Raw genomic sequence first — 27,328 nt, 5'->3', positions numbered from 1 at the left:
TCAGTTGTAATAGATCATGGACAAAGACAACAGCAAAATTTTCTGTGTATGTCAATAATTTTCCAAGTCCACCTCCTCAGCATGTCTACAGTTCTACCCAGGTGTATATTTATGTAAGGCCACTGGGATGTGTCTCATTTACAATCACATGCTCATGCTTCCTTCCCCTCTTCTGCTCCAGGTTATTTTCCATGGCATTTTCCTGAGATTGCCAAAGATAAACGTTTTGAACAATCGCTTTGCTCCATTGTGCTACACTCAGAATTGCCCATCTCCTCTATCTGAGGCTTTATTCTTAGATAAGATAAGGCTGAACTTGCCTGTTTGACTCAGTTTTTTATTGGGATGAGTTCACCTTCTAGAAAACTCTTCATATACACAAAGCACAGGCTGCTCTGCCCCATGGTCACCCAACGCAAGTATTTATCCCAGCTGTGGACACAATGAATATTAAAGGTGAGGTAATAGTGTACTGTGTACACATATTAGTCTGGTAGGATGTGCCAATTTTCAAACACACCATATTTATTTCTTAGTTTTGACACGTTAAAAAACCACAGGAAGTGTGTACAATGTAAGCTGAGACATCATCTGTTTCAACACCTGCCCTCTCATTCTTTCACCCTATGATAATAATTTTGAAGTTTACCACAAACGAACTTGAATGAGGGTTTTTAAAATATGCACTTTTATATATTTTGACTTACTACACTTTGGATGGAAAGCTCGGAAATTAGCATTCATTAAATTAATTTTAAACTATATTGTCAAAAAGTTAAATCTTAAATGAAAAAAAAACATTTTCAGAAGGAAAAACATTTCTCCTCCCCATATCAGTGTTTTCCCACTGAAAATGATGCTCCAGGTCAAGCACAGTGGCTCACACCTGTAATCTCAGCACTTTGGTAGGCCAAGGTGGGAGGATCACTTGAGGCCAGGAGTTCAAGACTAGCCTGATCAACATGGTGAAACCCCGTCTCTACTAAAAATACAAAAATTAGCTGGGAGTGGTGGCGAGCACATGTAATCCCAGCTACTCAGGAGGCTGAGACAGGAGAATCCCTTGAACCCTGGAGGCAGAGGCTGCCGTGAGCAGAGATGGTGCCACTGCACTCCATCCAGCCTGGGTGACAGAGCAAGGCTGTCTCAAAAAAAAAAAAGAAAAGAAAATGATACTCCTCTATGGTTTATAAATAGTTTCTTGTTTATATATCTGTGGCTTAAACTTTTAGATGATAACTTGGATTTCATTTCAGAAGAGATTGTTACAGAGAGTTCATTTTTCTTTAAAGCCAGATAGATCTAGATTTCAAAGCCAACTCTGACACTTGCCTTGAGGACTCCTTTACTACATCTCTCTCTCTTTTTATTGTAATTTTTGTAGAGATGGGGTCTTGCTTTCTTGCCCAGGCTGGAGTTGAACTCCGGGGCTTGAGTGATCCTCCTGCCTCAGCCTCCCAAAGTGCTTGGATTACAGCCATGAGCCAGTGCACCCAACTACTAGATCTCTTAAAGCTTGTTTCCTCATCAGTACATTGGAGATGATAATAATACAACCAAGAGACAGGCCTGAGTTACTGTAACAAGGCTAATAATTTTGTACAGCACATTTCTTCTTCCTTTTCTTTATGTGAACTATACACACATATCCATGTAGCATTATATCTTTCAAGTATTGGTCTATATAGATTTAAATGTGCCATGGAAAGGATAATAATTTGCTATCTTTAGAAATCTGATCAAATTACTATTTTTACAGTTAGAATTAATAATCTAGCAAAGTTTGTATTTGAATACACTATTAACTTCAATAGAAAGTTACGAAAGAGCAAATTTCCTGATAAAATATTCTCCATATTATTGATATTTAGACAAAATATGACCAAGACTCATTGTCTCTGTCTGATAATCTTACTGTAACATATAGTGTTCTGTGCCGTAAGATTTATTATTGCATCACTGAAGCAGCCAGCTTCCTATAAACATAGTACATCTGGGCATTATTTAGATAAATTTCTATTCTGAAAATTTACATATTCTCAGCTGGGTGCAGTGGCTCACACCTGTAATCCCAGCACTTTGGGAGGCCGAGGCGGATGGATCACAAGGTCAGGAGATTCAGACCATGGTGAAACCCTGTCTCTACTAAATACACAAAAAATTAGCTGGGCGTGGTGGCGGGCACTTGTAGTCCCAGCTACTCAGGAGGCTGAGGCAGGAGAGTGGTGTGAACTCAGGAAGAGGAGCTTGCAGTGAGCCAAGATCGTGCCACTGCACTCCAGCCTGGGTGACAGAGAGAGACTCTTGTCTCAAAACAAAAAAATAATAAAATAAATAAATAAATAAATAAAGGTTATTTTCTTTGTACTTTTACCAAGTACAAACCAAAGAAGCAAAATGAGTCCACATTGGAATAGTAACTTATACTTCAACAAGTTAGCATGAGATATTTTACAATCTCATAGCCACTTTTACTCAACTCAGAAAGCAACTCAGCTGAAAGTAGCTCGTGTCTTCTGGGAACAGAATTCTGATAGTGAGACCTGGAGGATAGGAATGCCTTGACCTATGAAGGGAATGAATATTTTATAGCTTATCTATTTCCTATATTGTTCTTATTAGCTGATGGACTGCTCACAATTCCCTGAGGCAATGCTATTATATCAAAAATGAGGTTGTGAGAGCTAACTGATACACTGAAAATCAAGTTAAAGGCAGAGCTGGAATTGAAGGAGTTGTTCTCAAGGTATGTTACCCAGCCTCTAACATGGATAACTAAAAACTATTAGCTACTTTTATAGAATCATAGATCCACAAAGTTTTAGAAACAAAAGTTACAGAAATAATCCCTCGATTCCAAAAATATCGGTAACAAACAAAAGGAATATTTAGTTAAAAATATTACTTTAAAACTTGTAAGACCTAGTAACTGAAAGTTTTCAAGGTTCAAAAAAACTAAAAAACCTAAATGTGTTCTGTATACAAACTAATTGTTAAGACTCTGCCCAAACTGAAGCTGTATCTTCACTTTTGTTCTTCTCTTGATAAACTTTTATTTTAATCCAGATATCAAGATTTCTGAATTTAAAGGAAAGTCTGCATATGAAAGGAGCAGAATTCTCTGTCACTGATAGTTCACTGATAGTTCAGTGACCTTATTAGAAAAAGTATAGATAGGACTCCTGATATCTGCTGACTTGATGAGGGTCAAGGCCTCTGGAGCTCAGCAGCAGCCCTGACTTCCTCTTACAAGTGGAAACTTACCACCCCAGGCCCAGCTCAGCCCAAGTCCCAACTTCAGTCTCATCTCAGCCCCAGGCTCACCCAGCCTAAGTCCCAGGCCCAGGCCCAAACCCAGGACCAGACTCAGGCCTGGATCATGTCTCACTCAGCCTCAGCCCCAGGCCAAGACCCAGATCCAGCGTCAGAACAAGCCCCAGTTCCAGCCTCAGACCCAGCCCCAGCTCCAGCTTCAGACCCAGACCCAGATGCAGGCCCACACACACGCTCCACAGCCTGGCTCCTGCACTCAGGTCTCTTTTCTTTGCCCTGTGCCCTTAGGATTCATATGGATACTAAGGCAAACACTACCTGCTTTTAAGAGAGAAATAAAATGGTGTGAAGTAGGGATATAGATGACTTATGACAGTAAGAGAAATCTGACATAGTTGACTCCATCTTGCTTCTAACCACCAAGCTATCCTTGGTCATTCCTGGGCATAGACCAAGCTGACTTTGGGAAAAATTTAGTTAAATTTGTGTTAAATTACACTTCAAGTTCTGGGATAACACTTCAAGTTCTGGGATACGTGTGCAGAACATGCAGGTTTGTTATATAGGTATACATGTTCCATGGTGGTTTGCAGCACACATCAACCCATCATCTACATTAGGTATTTCTCCTAATGCTATCCCTCCCCTTGCCCCCCACCCCACAACAGGCCCCAGTGTGTGACTTTCCCCTCCCTGTGCCCATATGTTCTCATTGTTCAACTCCCACTTATGAGTGAAAATATGTGGTGTTAGGTTTTCTGTTAGCCCATTAAATTTAATGTTATGTCTGAATTTGATCTTGTCATTATGATGCTAGCTGGTTATTTTGCCCATTCGTTGATGCAGTTTCTTCATAGTGTCAATGGTCTTTACATTTTGCTTTGTTTTTGCAGTGGCTGGTACAGATTTTTCCTTTCCATATTTAGTGCTCCCTTGTGCTTCCTTCAGGAGCTCTTCTAAGGCAGGCCTTGTGGTGACAAAATCCCTCAGTATTGTCTGTAAAGGATTTTATTTCTCCTTCACTTCTGAAGCTTAGTTTGGCTGGACATGAAATTCTGGATTGAAAATTATTTTCTTTAAGAATGTTGAATATTGGCCCCCACTCTCTTCTGGCTTGTAGGGTTTCTGCAGAGAGATCCGCTGTTAGTCTGATGGGATTTTCTTTGTGGGTAACTCGACCTTTCTCTTTGGCTGCTCTTAACGTTTTTTTTCTTCATTTCAACCTTGGTGAATCTGACGATTATGTGTTTTGGGGTTGCTGTCCTCAAAGAGTATCTTTGTGGTGTTCTCTGTATTTCTTGAATTTGGATGTTGGCCTGTCTTGCTATGTTGGGGAAGTTCTCCTTCCTGGCTAATATCCTGAAGTTTGTTTTCCAACTTGGTTCCATTCCCCCGTCACTTTCAGGTACACCAATCAAATGTAGGTTTGGTCTTTTCACATAGTCCCATATTTCTTGGATGCTTTACTCATTCCTTTTCACTCTTTTTTCTCTAATCTAGTCTTCATGCTTTATTTCATTAAGTTGATCTTCAATCTCTGATATCCTTCCTCCCACTTGATTGATTCGGCTATTGATACTAGTTTATGCTTCACGAAGTTCCCATGGTGTGTTTTTCAGCTCCATCAGGTCATTTATGTTCTTCTCTAAACTGGTTATTCTAGTTAGCAGTTCCTGTAATTTTTTTATCAAGGTTCTTAGTTTCCTTGCATTGGATTAGAACATGCTCCTTTAGCTCGGAGGAATTTGTTGTTACCCATCTTCTGAAGCCTACTTCTGTCAATTTGTCAAACTCATTCTCTGTCTAGTTTTGTTCCCTTGCTGGTAAGGAGTTGTGATCCTTTGGAGGAGAAGAGGCACTCTGGTTTTTGGAATTTTCAGCCTTTTTGTGCTGGTTTTTCCTCCCTTTTGTGGCTTTATCTGCCTTTGGTCTTTGATGTTGGTGACCTTCAGATGGGATTTCTGTGTGGATGTCCTTTTTGTTGATGTTGATGATATTCCTTTCTGTTTGTTAGTTTTCCTTCTAACAGTCAAGCCCCTCTACTGCAGGTCTGCTGGAGTTTGCTAGAGGTCCACTCCAGACCCTGTTTGCCTGGGTATCACCAGCAGAGGCTGCAGAACAGTGAAAATTGCTGCCTGCTCCTTCCTCTGGAAGCTTCATCCCAGAGGGACACCTGCCAGATGCCAGCTGGAGCTCTCCTGTATGAGGAATCTGTCAACCCCTGTTGGGAGGTTTCACGCCCTCCGGAGGCACGGGGTCAGGGGCCCACTAGAAGAGGTAGTCTGTCTCTTAGTAGAGCTCCAGTGTTGTGCTGGGAGATCTGCTGCTGTCTTCAGAGATGGGAGGCAGGAATATTTAAGTCTGCTGAAGCTATGCCCACAGCTTCCCCTTCCCCCAGGTGTCTGTCCCAAGGAGATGGGAGTTTTATCTACAAGCCCCTGACTGGGGCTGCTGCCTTTCATTCAGAGATACCATGCCCAGAGAGAAGGAATCTAGAGAGGCAGTCTGGCTACAGTGGCTTTGTGGCGCCGCGGTGGGCTCCACCCAGTCCAAACTTCCTGGCAGCTTTGTTTACACTGTGAGGGGAAAACTGCCTACTCAAGCCTCATTAATGGTGGATGCCCCTTCCCCATTAAGCTTGAGCATCCCAGGTTGACATCTGACTGCTGTGCTGGCAGGGAGAATTTCAAGCCAGTGGATCCTGGCTTGCTGGGCTCCGTGCTGGTGGGATCTGCCGAGCAAGACCACTTGGCTCCCTGGCTTCAGCCGCCTTTCCAGGGGCATGAACAGTTCTGTCTCAGTGGTGTCCCAGGCGTCACTGGGGTATGAAAAAAAACTCCTGCAGCTAGCTCAGTGTCTGCCCAAACGAATGCCCGGTTTTGTGCGTGAAACCCAGGGCCCTTGTGGTGTAGGCACCTGAGGGAATCTCCTGTTCTGTTGGTTTCAAAGACCTTGGGAAAAGCGTAGTATATGGGCCAGATAGCACCGTCCCTCATGGCAAGTTCCCTCACAGCTTTCCTTAGGGGAGGGAGTTCCTGACCCCTTGCACTTCTAGGGTGAGGTGACACCCTACCCTGCTTCTGCTCACCCTCCGTGGGCTGCACCCACTGTCTAACCAGTCCCAGTTATATGAACCGGGTACCTCAGTTGGAAATGCAGAAATCACTGGCCTTCTGCATTGGTCTCGCTAGGGAGGGAGTTCCTGACCCCTTGCACTTCTAGGGTGAGGTGACACCCTACCCTGCTTCGGCTCACCCTCCGTGGGCTGCACCCACTGTCTAACCAGTCCCAGTTATATGAACCGGGTACCTCAGTTGGAAATGCAGAAATCACTGGCCTTCTGCATTGGTCTCGCTAGGAGCTGCAGACCAGAGCTGTTCTTACTTGGCCATCTTGCCTGGGAGTCCCCTTGTCTACACTGTTATAAGCACATAAAGAAGAAACCCTTCATGATTGCAGGCAGGTCTGAGAAAAAAATTATTTTTATTATTGTGTACATGTACATTTGTAAATGTATATACAAAATATCAATACTCTTTGATGGAATGTAACAGAATCCAGAATCTCTGCCACACATTATTCATCATCTAGAATAAAATTCTAATTTACTAGGCATATAGAGAAACAGGAAAATTATGACTCATACTGAAGAGAAAAGGCACCAATGAAGACCAACTCCAAGATGACCCATATTTGGAACTAGGAGACAGAGATTTCAAACAGTCATTAAAACTATGCTCAAACATCTAAAGGAAAATGTGAGGCAGTGCAATGGCAGCTGGCACATGGGTTTATGTATATACACTCTATTCTTCATATAAAATAATGTTACTTACTAAAGTAATGATGACAAAAAAATAGCTTGATTATTCACATGCAAAAGAAGCATTGACTTTGAGTTTGTTCTGTAAGACATTCACTTATAATAAACAGTAATTTTAAGAGTACTCAGCTATGAAGACAATAATAAACTATAATAAAAATAATGAAATTCAAATAAGTAGTATTAAAAGTATCTGAAGCCCCAGTGGTAGAAAGTTTTACTTTTAGGTTTGGGGAAGAGAGGATATAAGGGCAAGCTTCAACAAAGAATGACAGATGAGATGAACCTTGAAAGTTGTTTAGAATTATTATACCATTCAGGTATGATAGAACAAAGATGGGCAACAGGTGAACAAAGTGAAGAAAGTTCTGAATGTAATAAACTAAAGTAGCAATCTTTAGCTATAGGGTATGGTTTGTGACAACAGTGATGGGAGATAATGTGAGAAGAGTAGGTGGGTCCAGACTGAAGAATCTAGACATCATTCTGAAGATACCAGGGAGCCAATTAAAAGACAAAATACAAAAGCTCAATATTATTTCCTTTAGAAACCACAAACCCAGAAAGGATTTTCATGATTTATTGTTTGTGATTCTTACAATTACCCAGTACAACAAGCAAATGAAATAGCTCTTATAATTTTAGTTTAGGGCCCTAAAGTCTGTTAAAGATTAAGTTACCACATGATAGATTTGAGGAAGAAAATAATTTTAAAATGTGCTATAAAATTTCTTAACCTCTTGTTTACAAGGTACATATATATATATATATATATATATATATATATATATATATGTGAGTTTATGGTTTGAAAAAATATTTCACTGCACTATTAGAAAGAGTCTATTCCTGTGACTTCTTGGAGTTGGGATGTAGGGGAAGCAAATTTAATTTTGTCTTTACAAGTAAAATTCATGCATAAAATACAAATTAAAGTTAAATTACGGATTGCCAAGTTTGCAGAAGTAAGTGAATCTTTCTTTCTTAAGGCCTTTTCTGTGGCCCTTTCTGATAAGGAAACTCAGAAGTTCTGTTTTCAGTTTGTTATTAGGCAGTTATAAAATTACAGTGAAATTTTTAAAATATTGATACTAAAGGCAAGGCATGGCAGAAAATATCTTAAAGCCTGGTGTGATGTAAGAAAATAAATCTTTTGTGACTAATGCATTTTTATAATATTTCAGTTGCTTGAAGTCTAGAGATATCAACTGGGAAAATTGGGGGATTTAAAAATATCAGAATACCTCCCAGAGTATTTCAGAAAAGGAAGGGACAGTGGAATTTTATGTCTCTGTATTCATAATGCTTATTTTGTCCTTCACATTACTCACTCCTTATAGCTAATGACATCAAGGAAAGGAACTTAGATATGTGGCCATAGGTACTTTATGTTGCATATCAAGGAATTATTATGTGATAGTTGTTTGACTTTAAAAAGCTAATGCAGCACCCATTTTTTCCCCTACATTTGTTTTGTGCAGGAAATGGGGCCTCATTAACCCTCCTGGGATAATACAGGTTAATATGCACATAAATATTTTTATGTTCTATAATTTCATGAAGTACATTTTGTTTGAAACATTTACTCCAATGGTCTTATGGTAATGTTGCATGAAAACAAGGCTCACTCCAGATGTGATTTGCTCTCGCTACAATAAAGTTATCCTTGTAAATTATTCCAGTGTTTACAAAAAATGGGGGATCATGGAGAAAAATTGTGACTTTCCCTCCAAAAGGGAAAACTATCCCAATGAATCTAGTATTATCAGTTTATTTCTCCTTATTTGCTGGTTTATGATATTAATATATTTTAAAGTTCACTATTAAATCAAGAGCAGAAGGCTAATGAACTTTAATATATTTTCATGCACTGGTGGTCAAATTATGATAATAAAATACCAGATGGCAAAATCATCATTTAAAACGATGTATTCACTTTTTGTTCTGTTTTGCTTTGGGTTTCCTGATAGGCATTTTGTGTTCTACAAATTTTTTTTTTATTCAAATATCCTTGGTGTATCTCTCTAGTATTTTGATACTTAAATTCTCTGACAAGCTCAAACATATTCTCTACTTTTGTTGAATTATCTCTTCAGGTTCTTTTTATTTAAATTAAGATTCTTTCCACTATAAACCCATACAACAAAAAGGTTAGATAAATTACAAGACTACCCCGATTCATGATGAATATAAAAAATATATCAGATAGATATCTTTGAACTCATTATATTCCTTTCTTAATCATTGTTACTGTTGACTTTACATTTGCTTAACAGCACAACTTCCAAAAACTATTTAATAATATATCTTCTGCTATTCAGTTCTCACATAAAGTTCTAGGATCATGTGAATAAGAATAACATAGAGAATGTTGCCAAAACAATTTTTTTTTTTTTTACAATCTGACCAGTGATCAAATGCAGACAACTTGTTGCTTTATATATCTTCCATTTTTGCACTGATTGAGAAAGCCTTATACTACCTAGTATTTTGGAGTTACATGCCCAAACATAAGGCAGTTCAACTCCTTTCAATTCTTAGAGGAAGAAACCAGTACATTCTTGTCGTCCCATTCTTTTCACATACTCTGGGTACAACTTGTCTTTAGATCAAGGTTAAATCTGTGACACTCTCTGATTGATGTCTATGAGTTAAGGCAAACTGTAACTGGCTTACAGATTCATCTGTAGAACAATCTGTTTCACAAGCCCCTCACTTTTCTCTGAATGAAAGTAGGAGTTCATGAGCCCATCTGCTAAAGGATGTAAGGGATTTGAAGTTGTGTCTCAGTTGATTCATCAGCATGTCCCTGAAGTGATCTCCCAAAAGAAAATAGAAGACAGGGTTGATGACACTGTTCAGAAAGGCCAAAGGCCGTGTCACAATGTAAAAGGAGTTGATGACGACCTGAGTGCACTGATACTGCTTCCAACTCCCCAGGCGTGAAGCGATCCTCACATTCCGCATGACGTGATAGGGTGTAAAAAGCACAGAGAAGATTACCACTGCCATGATGACCAAGTTGAGAGGCTTTTCAAGGGGCAGAGCAGTAGCAACCTGCCTATTCCTCTGCTTTAGGAAGAGAGCAATCTTGTAATAAAAGAAACACATCACAAAAAGAGGAATAAGGAACCCCAACAGTGTTAGACACATGCTGTAAATGAGGTTGTAGTTGGGGTCTCCAGAACTTGCAAAATCATTACAGGTGGTGCCATTGTCAGTTATAACAGGATTTATAAGGGGAAGTATGGGTAGTAACTCTAAGGTTACTAAAACCCAAATGGCCAAGGAGATTAAAATAGCAAACTCTTTCTTTTGCAGAAGGTGTTCTCGGAAAGGATACTTAATTATCAAGTATCGATCTATGCTGATAAAAGTGAGAAAGAGAATGCTGGTATAGAGGTTGGCATGAAGCACATATCGGTTGCTTATGCAGAGCACGTCTCCATATATCCAGTTTCCATTGGCATAACTCCTTATCAGCATGGGGAGGGTGCACAGAAAAGCTAAGTCAGAGACAGAGAGGTTAAAGAGATAAATATTACTGCTGTTCCAGTTCTTCAGAGAGAAGATGTAGCCGTAAACAACAATGGTATTTCCAAGGACTCCCACAACGAACTCAATCCCATAAAAAATGGAAAGGTAGTACTTTTCCAGGGCAGCCTCTGCTGCCAGCCAGTTTTTGCAAGTTGCATTCCATGCCTAAAGAAGAGAGAGAAAATATAAGGATTAAACACTAGACTGTGACTAATGACAAAACTGTGCAGAACATAATAATAATGAAAAACACTTGAATGGTGAACTATAGAAAGTAGGTTACATCAGTAAGGAAAGCATACACACATATATATATGTCATTAATGTATTATTTTAACAAATTTTTTGAATACCTTTCAACTATGTGCTGAATATAATTTCAGGCACGGGAGATAACAGCAGTGAATAAATCAAAGTTCCTAATCTCTAACAATTTATACTCTCTTGGGAAGAATAATCAGGAAGTAAACAATGAATGATACCAATAATGATAAGTGCTATGAATAAAAACATATGGGAAGGTAAAAATATTAGAAAGTTTTGGGATGGAGGGTGGCAGTGACTCATTTTTATATGTGGTGATAAGGGAGAGGCTTTTATACAAGATGACATTTAAACAAAAACCTCAATGAAGAAAGTGAAAGAGACATATCTATATTTGCAGGAAGTGTTCCAGGCATAAGAAAGAGCACATGTGAAGGCATTAAGGTGGAAACACAAATAGAGGGCTTGGCAAATAGCAAAGAAACAAAGGGAACGTATGATAAAATAATTGAAGAGAAGATTTTGAATTCACTTTTGTGTCTCTAAACATACCATGATCCCCAGCATGTCGTAGTTGTTCAACAAATTCTGCTGAGTTAAACCATAACCTAGAAGAGGAAATAAGAATTTTTAGAACTTCAGTCTCACTATTTTAAGCTTTTACTTGTTTCCATATTGCCAAAGAATTCTGCTTATTGTATTAAATTCATAAACTATGATACAACTTCAGTTTTAAAACTTAATTTTTAAAAATTCAAAATATGAAACTGAAAATCTTAGTAATATTAACATTGGTCATGATTTATTGAAAGATGCCATGCCTCAGACTCAGTAATTTATAAAAAAAAGAAATTTATTTCTCACAGTTCTATAGACTGAAAAGTCCAAGATCAAGGTATCAGCAGATTTGGTGTCTGATGAAAAGTCACCTTGTGCTCCAAAGATGGTGGCTGCTGTGTCCTCACAACAATTTCAGAAGGGGCAAGGCAGCTCCGTTAATCTTCTTTCACAAGAGTACCAATCCCATTCATGAAGGTAGAGTCTTCATGGCTTCATCACTTTCCAAAAGGCCCCGCCTCTTAATACTATTAGGTTCCAACATACATTTTGAGGAGACACCAATATTAAGACCATGGCATTTGCCTAGGTCATATGCTTAGTGAAAGACCTTTATTGTAATGCCTTCTGAATATGTACCATGGAAATAAGCAACCTGACTCACTCAAACCTCAAGAGTCTTGCTAACCTACTGTTTTTAACTCTTGTCAAGAGGCCAGATTGTGATTGGATAGGGTATTTCAAGAACTTTAATTATCTGAAAAAAGTACTGGATTGCCATTGTTAAACATTAAGTGTTACTTATTTCTAGTGAGGAAAACCAAGGTTGAAAACAAAATGTTCTAAAAACCTCTTTGTCAAGTAGGCTTCTGAGTATTAGTTGCAAACAAACAATTCTTTCAATTTAGAATTTTGGTAAATAGAACAAAATAAGAATAAATGCACCTAAACTGCTTTTTATGAGAAGCATGCAAAATTCAGTAGAATTTGCTATGATAAGGCATCTGGAAAACTCATGTATTTTTGTCAAATTCAAGTGGTTTACTTTAGTTAAAGATCATTGTTATTTTGAGAGTGTTTTATTTATGAAAATAAGTCACAGAATTGTAGATATAAGTTTAATATTTTGAAAAGTTATTTTTAATCACTTACTTTAAAACATTATACATTTTTCGGAGTCTCTCGAATCTCTCTATGGCAACCTGCCACTAAGTCCAATTCCAGACAAAGCTGAGTGGAAACTTTCTCAAGCAGCAGACACATGAATGCTGCTGAAGAATAAAGCAGATGGGTTTCACTCTGTCTTTGAGGTCACCTAATTCTACCGCTCTCTCATATTGCCAGCATATTCCTATATTTCTCAATTTCATATTTTTTTATCTCTTAAAACTTTTTTCATTTACTCTACCTTACTCATTATTAGCAAATGGTTTTACCTCCTAGTTCATTGAGATAGAGAGCATTTGTTGAGCTTACTCTAGATCCAACTCATTCCCAAATTCTCAGTATTCCCATGGTACCATTATTTCTTCTTTTCTGACTCTTCAGCATTCTTCTCCTCATCGTCAGTCTTCATGTCCTCTTTTCCATTAGAATTTAAACACTCTCATCATTTCAATCTTACAATAAGGAGCAACATAAACAACTCTCCCTAGTTTCACGTGTTCCTCTCCTCTTCATAGTTTGATTTCTGGAAAGAGCCATCTCATTAAGTGTTTTGACATCTCGACACCCCATTCCCTTTCAACTTACTCCAATTTGGCTTCGGACCTACCAGTCCTCCAAGTAGCCTCCACATTGCTCATTCCAATAATCATTTTTCACTAATCTTATTTTATTTATCAGTTGTTTTTCATACTCTGTCTTCTGGAAACACTCTTCTTTTGCCTTCTGAGACATGACAATATCCTAGTTTCCCTTCTTTCTCCCTGGTTGTTCTTTGCAGGCACTTTTGGGGCTCAAGTCTTCTTGGCTCAAGCAATAAATGTTGAGTTCCTCAAGGCTAATTTCTGGGCTCCTTCTTTTCATAGATTCTTCCTAAATGATCTCATTCACTTTTGAGGTTTAATGACCAACTATACATCAACAACTCCCAGATTTCCAGCCCAGCTTGTATCTGCCTTACAAACTATAATTGTTTATTGCCATTGATTGATTTCTCTCAGATGTCTCTGCCTCTAGAAATCCTACACCAAATTCTCCAAATTCCTTACCAAGCCTGCAGCATATCCACCAATTTCAGTAAATGGTTCTGCCATGTATCCAGGTGCTCACCACGAAAATCTAAGCAATATCCTCAAAGTCATCTAAAACTCAACACCAGTAATGAATAAACTACCAAGTCTGTTTACTGTAATGTCTGGGTATTTCTCAAATCTATCATTACTGCTCTATAGCTTTCATTATCATTCTCGTCCAGGCTACTCTTATCTCTATTTTGCTCTATGTCATATTCTGCTATTGTCTCCTCACATCCTCTCTGGCCCTCATCAGTTCATCTTTACCATTATAGCTAAACAGTCTTGAAAAACTACAACTCAAAATCAGATCATATAGCTTTCCTTGATCAAAACCCTTAATTAACTTTCCACTATCCAAGGAATATAGTCTAAAATCCTTAATGGGGACATCAAGGTCTGCATGATCTGGCCCCTGCACCCACTTCAATTTTGCTTGGCATTACTCTCCTCCTAATTCATCTTCCTTTCTTCCTGCTCTTTGAATGCACAGAGAGCCTTCTTAACATGCAGTCCCTCTATCTGAATCTCTTTTCACTGCTGTTTTTGTCCTGTGATTCCTGGCCCATCACATATTTGTCATATATCTATACTTCTCTCAGGCCTCTGTTCAAGTGTAGGTTTCCCAAGGTAGGCTGTCTGACCCTCAGTCTAAAGTAGGTCCTCCCATTTATGCTTTCATTGTATACTAAACTTCTTAGAATTTTGTATAACTTTGTCTTACTCATTTTTTATTGTCCACATCTGGCACAGTGACCAGCAGATAGTAGGTGATCTATAAATCTTTGTTGAGTGAAGAGATGAATATGAACACCTGACTATTTACAAAGCATTTTTATAAATATTTTCTCCAAGGCCAGATAAGCAGCAAGACCATCAGATTAAGCTCATTGCTTATTTCACTGTGAAAGTCAACACTATATATAATATAATATGATAAGTATTAAAAATTAGTAATTGTAGTAGTAGTAGCTGTAGTTTAGAAACACATTTGTATAAGGCAAAATTAAATATCTACCAGGATAAATTTTAAAACTGAAGCATTTAATTAAGAAATGACACCTGAAATTAATAAGCATAAGAAGTCTAGAAAGACGTGCATCAAAATGTTAATAGCTTTATCTCTAATGATGAGATTTCAGGTAGTTTTTATTATTTCCTTTCTCCTTTTATCTAAATTTCCTATCATTTTTTCTCTCAAAATTGGCATCTATTTGATAATATTAAAAACTTTAAATTTCTAGAAATATAGCAAAAATGTCAATAGGCTTTAACATATTAACAAACTTTATTTTTTTTAGCTCAATGGTCAGTTTTTACTATTATTATTTATTCTCAGTAGCTTTTAAGTCCACACTTTCTGGAAGCACTCTCTTCCTATCTTCTATGACACAACAATCTCCTTGTTTTCCTCCTTTCTCCATTTTCATGCTCTTTTGTGGCTTAATCCTTCTTTGCCCAAGTTTTAAATGTTGGACCTTCTCAGGCCTTATTTCTGAGCTCTTGTTATTTTGTGGGTACTCAAAAAGCTGGTGCACAAATTCAAATGAAAATTAAGGTATAGAAAGTTTCCTTGACACAAGAAATTTGTTTCACTTTTGCATTTCCTTTTTTTCTGGTCATAACGTTTATCTTTCTGCCTAGTCACCACTGGTAATGTTAATAGCTTATGTATTGTGCACAGCAGAAAGATTTGACTGCAATGGAAGGAAAATATAGCCACAAAGACTTGTGCAACTAGAGCCTGATTTCCTGCAACTATCACTCAGGCAGGTGACGGGTCACATGAAAGTCAAGGAGCATTCTGCTTTATAGTAGCCCAGAAGGTCGGGGATTGAAGGAGTAGTAGGGAAGGAGTAGAGCTGAAATAAGAGAAATGAATGACTAAATTATCATATTTGTCTTTCTTCTCATACAGTTGTTTCTTCATTTTTTTGAAACAACTTTTTAAAAATGTATGTGTAAAATTATTGTTAAGGTGTAACACTCATAAAATCAAATAGGCAAAAATAAGAAATAAAAATGGTCTGTAAACAGACCACTCCTAATATTTGGGTACCCTTTTACATTTTAATATTTACCTGAATTTTTATTCATAAAAATGAGATTTTTTTATGATGTTTTATAATTTTTTGATACATTTGTTTCATTTTTTCTAAGTTCATAATTCTAATAGATTATGATTTTATAAATATGAGCTGTGCAATATTTGCAGACCAATTTAACTTCACTAGGATACAAAATTTTGAAGATACTATATTTCAAATTGGATATGTTTATAGTTGGGTATGTTTTTAGTGTGGCATCGCAATTCTATAAACATATGAAGTAAGTTGCTCCTTTAAGCAAAACTCCCAATTAAAGAGAAAATTCCCTCATGAAAAATTCATATTCTCTCTTCTGCTATCTAGTGGCTATATTCTTAATTTTTAGGAAATGGAAATAGTGATAAATAAATTGTAACTGATTTGGATGAATTATTTTGAATAGGTATTTTTTAAGAGCAGAAATTAAAGTGAAATCTTTAGTTTCCAGTCCAAAAATATATCTAAAACTGTTAGAATTATTGAACTAGAAGCAATATCTAATTTACTCACATAAGCAGACCAATAATACTTAACTTGAAAATGTTTTTTACTTTAAATATATTCAGCCTTTTGAAAATCTGCATTTTTGAAATTTACTTTAAAATATATATGTGATAGTTTCTTAGCTTTTTAATTGTTTGTTTTTATAGTCATCACAATTAAACAAATAACATTTGTAAAATGTTTACTTTTAAGTGCTACCTTAAGGCAAATTTACATGGTAACATGAGAATTTTTTTTAACAAATTACTTTTTTGATTACTAAATAATTTGAGCAAAAATATATATTCACACTGAAAAGATATAATAATTTAACATTTGTAACTTTATTTTTATGTATTCCATACATTACACCAGAAATTAAGGTATTAAAAAGTAATAGTATGGCACAAATTGTGTATTAACTTCTTTAAGAATACCACACACATTTTGAAAAGTTATGGAAGGTAGAATAGAAATGGTTTCTGCAATTTTTCATTTTTCCTAAGTAAATTAATTATTGGGTAATATCATTTTTACACACATAAATGTTAAATTTAATTTTTAGGATGCCTGAAAATTCCCCCAAATACATTATTTTCTAAACATAAAAATATTATGCCCCAGCACAGTGGCTCATGCCTGGAATCCCAACACTTGGAGAGGCCGAGATGAGTGGATCACCTGAGGTCAGGAGTTTGAGACCAACCTGACCAACATGGTGAAACTCCATCTCTACTAAAAAATCCAAAAAAAATAGCCGGGCGTGGTGGTGGGCGCTTGTAATCCTAGCTACTCTGCAGGCTGAGGCAGGAGAATTGCTTGAACCCCAGAGGCGGAGGTTGCAGTGAGCCAACACATGCTGTAAATGTGTCACTCTGGCACTCAGACACTCTAGCCTGGGTGACAAGAGTGAAACTCTGTCTTAAAAAAAAAAAAAAAAAAAAAAAATATATATATATATATATATATGTATGTATATGTGTGTGTGTGTGTGTGTGTGTGTGTGTGTGTATGTATCAAATACATGATTGTTTCAAATCATTTAGGAACTTTAATTTTTCCCCATAAGTAGTTATATTTATTTAGGTAAATCCAATTACTATTTTGTTGAAATATAAGTTGTTGAGATGTTAGCAAATATAATAAATCCTTTTACATAAAATAAAATTAGTATTTGACAACTAAAAGAAGACAGTTAATTTGTTGAAAAATAAACGTAGAGATAAAAATGACTTTTTTTTTTCAATTATTTTGCTGTTTTACATCTATTTATAAAGAATTAATTTAAACACTTAATACTGAAAACCTTAATTGCTCACAGGTCACCTTTAGAAGGAAATCTGGCCTTACTTTATACACTGAGAGGCACAATTTGCCATGTAGCTTACCATTCTGTTGGAAGACTTGATCCCTTGACAGGAACTCTGCCAGCAGCTGGATATAGCTTCTGACCCAGTGTTGTGCCACTGGACATGGTTATTACAGTGTCCTATTTGCATATCCTATTTGCATATCCTGCAGCCAAGATTAATAATTCAAAAGCCCAGGAATAATTTATTCAGTCAAACCTCCCAGTCAGAGATGTTCATGCAGAGGAATTTTTGTGAGGCTTTTATTTTCACATTCACATTTATTTTATTTTCACATGCAGTTTTGCAATTGAATGACAAAAAACAAGTAACTCATTTCACAGGAAACACATTTACCAAATAGATTTTTAGAAAAACACTGTTGAACTTATTTTATCCACTACCAAAGCAACAGAGAAGCATTCCTTATTTTCATTTTATTTGCATATTTACACAATAAGAAGTGGTAAATACTGCTTATATTGGGAATACAGTTGCCTCTGCTTTTCTTCTTTTTTAAAATTAATTTTCTTAGTGAATTCTGTATTGAGAATATAATAACGAAACCTCTGTTTTCAATAACTTTGAGGGAACTATAAAACTGAAATTTTAAAGGGAAACCTGGATATATGCTATGTTGGTGTACTAGCAAAAAGATACTAGAGCTTCAAGTTATTTTCCATTTTATTTTCTGTGCTTAAAATCAAGAAACACATAAAAGATACATCAGATAGCTAGGGATTAGGGAGAGAGATGCTAAGTAAAATAACCTTAATAGATGGCAATTTATATATCCCAATCAATGCTCTGAAAAACATCTGGAAGTACATTACCACCATTTCAGACAGGAAGCACACCTGGCTTTTTCCAAGCATTATATTAGGTTTAGATTCAAGTAAACACTCAGTCTTCTTGATGTGAAGCATAGGGATTATACTAAGAAAGCCCATAATTGTGCAGGCAGCAGTAATTCAATTTAAATGCTATGTAAGTTGAATATTGAGTTAGCAATGACAGGCAGAAGCCCAAAAAGAAGCTCTGTTACAGGCATCCTCCTAACTAAGCATTTCTCCTCACCAATATCTGACAGCTTAAAAACTCAGGAACTCAAAATATATGTATGTATATATACACATACATATATACATACATATGTGTCTATATTACACACTTTATATACATGTGTAAAATATATTTATACATGTATGAATATTTATGTATACAAACATGTGCATTTACATGAAATAAAAATATCTATAATTTGTTGAGTTCTTGTGATGTGGCAGGCAGGTATTACACTAAGTACCTTTATGCATCAAATGCATATAGTAATCCTCTGAGGTTGTTATTATTTAAGATTTTTCTCATTTTGCAGATTAAAAAGCTAAGGTTCAGAGAGGTCAATTAACTTTCTCAAGATTGCAGAATCAATAACGGGAGGGACCAGAGCTTAAGCCTATGTACTTGGATTCTAAAAGCACCGACTCTGATTCTTGACTGCCTACAGAATTGAATGACAATACCCTTGTGCACAACAAAGTCTAAGAATTAATAACAGGTATTTTTCAGTAATGCAATTCTTTTCTACTTTTAGAAGGAAGAAAGGTTAAAACATTATTTTTGTCTATATTTTTAAAAGGGCAAAAAGCATTTGAATAACCAATGCCAGGCTTGTTAATTTTAGACATAAATTAACATGAACCCCTTCCAAGAAACAAAGACAAATGGATGTATTTCACAGGTTTCTGCCACCATTCTGATGGAAGAAAAGAGTAATTCCCCCTTTGTGGGGTGGTGGGAGTTCCCGAGAGCTTCCTCTTTCTTCGTCCCACTTCCTGACTACCATCTCACTCTGGCTGCTAAGACAAAAATTGGTCTATGCTTCTCCTTTTTCATAGAACACGTCATCTAGACTGTAGCCTGGTAGCCTTGTTTCCCTCCCAAGTCCTACTTCCTGTTTCCTCCGAATGCTCTCAGTTGAGATACTAGAGTGTTACTGGGAAAGACTTACTAAAAGGTCACGAGTATTTCTGCTACAAAGCTTTATGCAGGTCTGCAAAATGATAGCTGCACGGGAACAAGGCTGGATTCAGAATTATGACCCTGTGAGCAGGGTGGGTTTCATGGTATGCTACTGTGTAGTCTCACAGTGCTTCACACTCAAAAAAGATCACACAGTTGAGTTAATGCTCTACTGTCACATTCTTAATTAAAATGTTTCATAACTTCTTAACAAGGGACCCCATATATTTCTTTTGCACTGGGCTCTACTAAATATGTAGCCAGTTCTGCCTGTGAGAGTAGAAACCTCCTCAGAAACTATTTCTATTCAGTATAGCACATCAAATTTTGAGGGGGCAAAGTTTTTTTGTTTTGTCTTTTTTTTTTTTTTACATATAACATGTTGAGATGCACTGCTTGAGAATCAATGGAAGTTTGAAAGGCAGTGAAAGTTTGCAGTACTGGCCGGGCATGGTGACTCACACCTGTAATTTCAGTACTTTGGGAGACCAAGGCAGGCGGATCACTTGAGTCCAAGAATTGGAGACCAGCCTGGGCAAAGTGGCAAAACTCTGTCTCTACAAAAAATGCAAAAATTAGCTGGGGCATGGTGGTGCGTGCCTTTAGTTTCAGCTACTCGGGAGGCTTGAGGATGGCCTGAACCTGGGGAGGCCGAGGCTGCAGTGAGCCATGATTGTGCCACTGCCCTCCAACCTGGGAGACAGAGTGAGACCCTGTCTCAAAAAAAAAAAAAGTTAAGTACAACAATGAACACTTTTTAAAATATATATTTTTTAAAAGCTTGTAGTACTGTTTGCTAAGAGGTAGTATAACACAGTGTTTAAGAGCATAGGTCCTGGAGGCAAACTGCTTTGTTTCAAATATTGGCTTCACTACTCACTAGCTTTCAGTTTTTGTATTTGTAAAACAGGGATAATGAGAGTTACCAATCTTATGAATTGTTATGTATATAGCAGAAGTACATATGCTACATAGTATGAGGTACTAGTATATACGTACACTGTATAATATGAGGTACATATTAGTTGCTAAATAATTGTTGGCTATTACAGAAATTTATAATGAATGAGAGAAGACTTTCTCTAAAATAATAATGGTAATTCAGTGCCATTGATGTTAGAATACTTGCTGCCCAGAAATATCCATTTAAAAGGTCCTTATAAAAGCCAACATGATAAAAAGATTAGTGAGTTCTAATCCTGGCTTTGCCTTTTACTAGTTTGTGTGATCTTTGAAAAAAAATCACATAACCTGATTTCCTTGTTTGGAAAAGGGGAATAATAATTCCTACCCATCAAACTCATAATGTTCATAGTATCAAATTATATAATGTTTGAAAATGCAATGGGCTTGAAATTGAAGAGCAGTTCATGTAAACCAGGCAAACTAATCAGGAAATTCAAGAGGAAAAAGAAAATGGTGGGAAATATAATATAAATATTAATTAAATCCAATGCTAGTAATAACTTCTGCTGGGTCCGGTGGCTCACACCTATAATCCCAGCACTTTGGGAGGCCAAAGCAGGAGGGTCACTTGAGCTCAGGAATTCAAAACCAACCTGGGCAACATAGCAAGACCTCCTCTACTAAAAATCGAAAAAATTGGCTGGGAGTGGTGGAACACACCTGTAGTCCCAGCTACTCAGGTGGCTGAGGTGGGAGGATCACTTGAGCCCAGGATGTCAAGACTGTAATGAATTATGATGGCATCACTTTACTCCAGCCTGGGTGGCAGAGTGGGATCCTGTCTAAAAAAAATTAATAATAACTTCTACTAACATTTTTTCAGCATTCACTCTATAATAACACAGTGTATGCAGTGATTCTTTTAATATTCACAATAATTTAATGCAGTGGATATTATTAATATCACTCATTTTCAGTTGAAGAAATCAAGGCCTAATAAAGATTAAATAAATGATCCACAAATACACAGCTAATACATGATTTGGCTGTATAATTTGAAGCCTTATCTGTTTGACTCCTGAATCCAAACTCTTCTCCATTATTCTCCTGAGTCACTCATGGTAAAGATGAAAATATTAGATTGAAACATAAAATTATTGATATTGGAACATTTTTACCTTATATATGGCAATTTTATATAGTTTAGTAAAATAAATTTAAAACTAACACTAAATTTAATTATTAGTTATAAAACTTATTGATTATCAAATTTAATAATTTAAATCTTCCAACTTCCAAAAAGAATAGAACATTTTAGATAAAAATCAAACATGTTAAAAATAAATAGTTAAAGTATTTATAGAAAGATTCTCCTAGCAACGTCTCTGGGAATGTTTACAAGCCACATTTAACAGCCCAAAAAGTCTGTGTGGAAAACAAAACTGGTTTAAGGGTCATGCTAATCTTCAAGGGTCACAAGCAGAGAAAGAAGAGGGCAATTAATCTAATTCGAGGACTTTCTTCTAAACCCGTAAGGAGAAACAATAATAATAATAACAACCCCCAGAAGTTGAAACAAATCAAGATTATTGGGGAGGATATTTTGGTGTTTCTGGATAGATATAAGCAAGATTACATGGTTACTTCCTTTTTCAATGAATGGTTTCATGTAGCAAAATAATAAAGGACAAACAGCAAAAGGAAAAACACAGCAGAAGGTATTTGTGCATGTCTCAAAATTCTTCCGGCTTCTAGAAATCAATAAATTATATTAACCAAATTTACTTTACCACGGAAAATGGTCTATTCAAAATAGGCACTCAAGCAATCTACTTCCTTTTCCTATGAAAATCCTTGTCATTTAAGAGCTACATTATTAATGGAAATTTTTGCATTACTGACTTTTTTCTGATTATACAGTTAAGAAAAATATGTGTCATATCTATTGGTACTGGGCATAACTCAAAGGAATTGTTCTGCTAAATTAAAACACATTATTTGTTAAAAGCATCTGACTACAGCTAAAATATTCTAAGTTCCTTGAAGTACTAACAATTAACCTAGAAACACAGCAAATTCACCTTTTATCTTTCAGTTTATATGCAAATTCCACAGCTAATTCATTTTTGATAATATGTGCTGAACCTTAATCACAGGTGTTTCTCTATACAAATAATGTTGTTTTGTTTCCTTGAATAGAAATAGCGGTATATGAAATTCAGGCATTTGTGTACAATTAGAGACAGATTTCATTTCCTCTTTCTCTCTCTTTATCTTTTTATTTTTATTTACTTATTTATTTATTTTTGAGACAGGGTCTTGTTCTGTCACCCAGGCTGGAGTGCAGTAGCATGACCATAACTCACTGCAGCCCTGATCTCCTGGGCTCAAGCGATCCTCCTGCCCTCAGCCTCCTGAGTAACTGGCACTACATGTGCACACCACCACGCCTGGTTAATTTATTTTTTTAGGTTTTTTGTAGAGAAAAGGTTAGCGAGGCTCATCTCGAACTCCTGAGCTCAGGCAATCCTTCCACCTCAGCCTCCCAAAGTACTGGATAGCACTTTGCTATCCAGGTATGAGGCATCACACCAGGCCAGATTTCATTCTTAACTGTTGCTGATCAAGGCATCTTTTTTATTTAAAGAAAAGAGTTTGCCTAAAATATTAAAGTAATTTATTAATTTGCTAATTGATTACTTGACTACTCAGTCTCTTCCAGTCACATTTACTGTATTTTGTACAAATTTGCTTGATTCCTGGAATATTTTACATTATTTATAGAAACAAAAAAGCAGCTAGTTTATTGTCTTGATGTACTTTTTCAATTGGCTACTAATTAACCACTCTTCATTTTACTTGCTTGAATATATTATTTGCCCTTGAAATAAGAACAAGAAGTCAGTCTGATTGAATCTCATTGAGCATCCTAGTAATTGAATTGAGAGGTTTTCAAAATTCCCTGGAGTACAAGAGTATGTGTTCATTAAGTGAGCTAAGTGGTTTGTGACTGTGTTATGAATTAAAGAAAATTACCTGCCCCTGTTAATAACACACTCAGTGGCATGATTCCTTTGTATTAGTATCTTTATCGCTATAATATAATCATTAATGTACTGACTACATTTAAACTTATATTTTATGCTGATTTGTTAACTGTAAAGCTGATAAAATTTGGCTTTACCATTAGGTCAGTATTGTAATAAAGCAAATAAAGAATTTTCAGAATGTAGCAGTCTGACAATTATAAGCAATGTAAAGCGTTAAGGAAATACCTCATTCTCTGCTTTAAAAAATATCTCCCCATCCTATATTTATTATTTATGTGTCCATATGTTGTATTTTTTCACTTTCATCTAACTTTAAATCCTAACATAATTTGTACTACTTGAAAGAATTATTGCCAGTCAAAATGCCATGTGTGGACTGTCAGATCTAGAAAAATGCTTCTAAGTCATTCACTCTAGATCCCTCATCATCACAACAAGGACATCAGCCTCAGAGTGGTTAGAGGGGATACGGCTGGGAAGGCTGACTCTGGGAAAAATGAAGAATATCTTGTGCACAATGGAAATGGGAGGACTCACCCTAGGGGAAGAGAGAGTGGCAGAGAACCCTCCCTGACAGCTGTGTGTATACACTGTTTCCTGATGTTAAAGGAGAAAATCACTCTTACCCATCCCCAGGCTAGGACCTAACAATGTCTATTCTAAAAAACATGAAAAAAAAAAAAAAAAAAAGAAGGAAAGAAAAACAATAGCAAGCTTGAGAGAGAGAATACAGCAGTTTGACCTTCCACCATGCACCCTTCTTGGGGAAAGGGATATAACAAGCCTTGTCCCTGCCAAAGGACCTCCAAACACAGAAACTTCTACCCAAAGACCATTTACTTTAAACAAAAGTCTGTGTTTGTTCACTGTGACGGCAGTAAAATGCAACAGCTGCATCAATTTGTTTTGCCACTGAAAAAGCCTGTCATCCTCAAACTTGAAGCATACTTTTTGAGTGAAAATGGCCCTTCCCTTTATTCTACTATTTCCCCCCTTTTCACTCAACATTTTTTGAAGACGTGTACGTTTATCTATCAGGAACTGGTGAAATACTAATTTATAGCAGAGATTAGAATACAGGGAAAATAAAACAAAACTGTTTCCAATAGCACTAGATTCTGGAATGTAAAATACCAAGCATTATGAGAGGAGGAAGAGAAGCAGTGATTAGAAAAGCACTTCACAGACTAATATCCAGAATCTACAAGGAACTTAAACAAATTTACAAGAAATAAACAACCCCTCAAAAAGTGGGTGAAGGATATGAACAGGGACTTCTCAAAAGAAGACATTTATGCAGCCAACAAATATGAAAAAAAATCTCATCGTCACTGATCATTAGAGAAATGCAAATCAAAACCACAATGAGATACCATCTCATGCCAGTTAGAATGGCAATCATTAAAAGTCAGAAAACAACAGATGCTGGAGAGGATGTGGAGAAATAGGAACGCTTTTACACTGTTGGTGGGAGTGTAAATTAGTTCAACCATTGTGGGAGACAGTGTGGTGATTCCTTAAGGATCTAGAACCAGAAATACCATTTGATCCAGCAATGCCATTATTGGGTATATACCCAAAGGAATATAAATCATGCTGCTATAAAGACACATGCACACGTATGTTTATTATGGCACTACTCAAAATAGCAAAGACTTGGAACCAGCCCAAATGTGCATCAATTTTAGACTGAATAAAGAAAATGTGGCACATATATACCATGGAATACTACACAGCCATAAAAAAGGATGAGTTCATGTCCTTTGCAGGGACATGGATGAAGCTGGAAACCATCATTCTCAGCAAACTAACACAGGAACAGAAAACCAAACACCACATGTTCTCATAAGTGGGAGTTGAACAATGAGAACACATGGACACAGGGAGGGGAACATCACACACTGGGGCCTGTTGTGGGGTGGGGGGCAAGGGGAGGGATAGCATTAGGTTAATACCTAATGTAGATGACAGGTTGATGTGTGCAGCAGACCGCCATGGAACATGTATACCTATGTAACAAACCTGCATGTTCTGCACATGTACCCCAGAACTTAAAGTATAATTTTAAAAAAGCCCTTCAGAAAGCAATATCTGATATTTCTCTTCTAATTTCTCTTCCATAGTTTTAACTCAGACATTAATATTTCATTATCTGTCTCACATCCTACCTTCTTTTCAATAATCAATTAAAAAAAACACATATTGATCACCTGCTATGTTCAAGGCAACATGTGAAATAAAAGGATAAATAGGCAGGCTAAAACCTGACCTCAAAAAACTTACAACCTTTTTATACTCAAAACTTTTAACAATTCTCAACAAGGTCTCATACCACATGAAACATCTCCTTTTTCTTTCCATAATTCCTGGCTGACAGTCTCCCCTTTTTATTGATTTGCTAAATCAAATAAAATGTAATATGACATCTTGAAAATTCATGTCATTATCTAAGCCTTGATTTTCTCATATATGAAGCAAATTTGTTTTAAAACCCTATAAAACAGCAACATTCTCTCCTCAGACCCTACTTTTTACAAAGACTTGGTTGTTAAACATTTATCAGTACACCACTCCATAAATCCTTGCATTTGTCATTATTATTGCCTATGGGAAATATATATATAAGACAAACACATCCAATGCGCGTGCACACACACACACACACACACATACTCAAAGACTACTTTTCCAACAAGTGCACATTTTAAAACTACTCTTTGGCAGAAACTGTACTAGTATTAGAGGACACGAACATGACTTAAGGAGGTACCCTGCCTTATCTGCAAGGGAGTATCTAGTTGAAAAAAAAAAAAAACAATATTGTGAAATTTTCCCCTCATCTTTGCCTCATTTTTTCCTGTGAGTCATGAAACAAATATTTCTTGAGAACGACTGGTAATTAAACAAGTATTTGCAGAAATGATTGCTGAAAAATTCTTTATTTCCTTTGGTGAGTTCACTCAAGTTCTCTCCCTGCAGTAAATTAGAAACAATAATAGTGATATTAAGCCCTATAGCATATGTTCTAAAAGTATCTAGAAGTCCTCTTTTTCTCACAGGTATGCACTCATGAGCAAGGAATAAGTAATGTCTCCTATTTGGATAGACGATTCAGGTGGATCTGTGCAATTATGGCTGTGGACATTAGAAGGAGTCATGTTAAAGGTTTGGGAATCTTTAAAGAGAACCCTGCCTCCTCTTCTCTATAGTATCTCAACGTAGCACACTCCTCAATCTTCTTAATGGCTTTCCTTTTAAGCCAAAGGAAATCATATTATTTAATCCTTCAGCTCATTAAATTCAAAGACAACCCTTTCCCTCATCCCAGGCTGCAATGAATTTTTAAATTTCTTAATGCAGACAGACTTAAACTGCCTATCTAGGCCTAAAGGGAGAAAAAGCTATATTAATTAAGTGTTGAGTATTGATTTATTTTATTCCTTGTTTCCTTCGCACATTTATAAGCTAAATATAGATTAATAAAATATCTGTCAAGTAAGAAAACATGATTCATGATTGGGATCACTAAGTTTAAAGTGATCATTCTGTTTCAGTGCCTTATTGTTGCCTTTTAGGAACTAAGTGATAAATGACTTGAAATTGTGTTGCCTATTTGAATCATGAAATTTAAGAGTATTGTTTATGTCATGACATAAATGACTGCTGCACCATCCTTGGAAGGAAAATTATGTACATTCAGATTCGCACCTGCCTTAGTTTAGTTTAAAGTTACATATTG

General features: G+C 36.4%; 1 protein-coding gene and 1 long non-coding RNA gene across 3 annotated transcripts in view; one reads left to right on the top strand and one right to left on the bottom strand.

The window, feature by feature from the left end:
* The window catches only part of AADACL2-AS1 (AADACL2 antisense RNA 1), a 176,997-nt gene that overhangs the window by 36,819 nt on the left and 112,850 nt on the right, over nucleotides 1–27,328 (top strand). The gene's annotated exons all lie outside the window — the stretch shown is intronic.
* SUCNR1 (succinate receptor 1) lies at nucleotides 6,738–17,714 on the bottom strand. Its single transcript, NM_033050.6, has 3 exons — nucleotides 17,651–17,714; nucleotides 11,450–11,505; nucleotides 6,738–10,798 (listed from the first exon to the last, which is right to left on the bottom strand). The coding sequence occupies exons 2-3, from the start codon at nucleotides 11,462–11,464 to the stop codon at nucleotides 9,809–9,811; spliced, it is 1,005 nt and encodes a 334-aa protein (NP_149039.2). The 5' UTR covers nucleotides 11,465–11,505; nucleotides 17,651–17,714; the 3' UTR covers nucleotides 6,738–9,808.

The sequence above is a fragment of the Homo sapiens genome, chromosome 3, assembly GCF_000001405.40.
Source record: "Homo sapiens chromosome 3, GRCh38.p14 Primary Assembly".
Lineage (NCBI taxonomy): Eukaryota > Metazoa > Chordata > Mammalia > Primates > Hominidae > Homo > Homo sapiens.
Note: the sequence above shows the minus strand (reverse complement) of the source record. Positions and strands in the feature narration are given on the sequence as shown.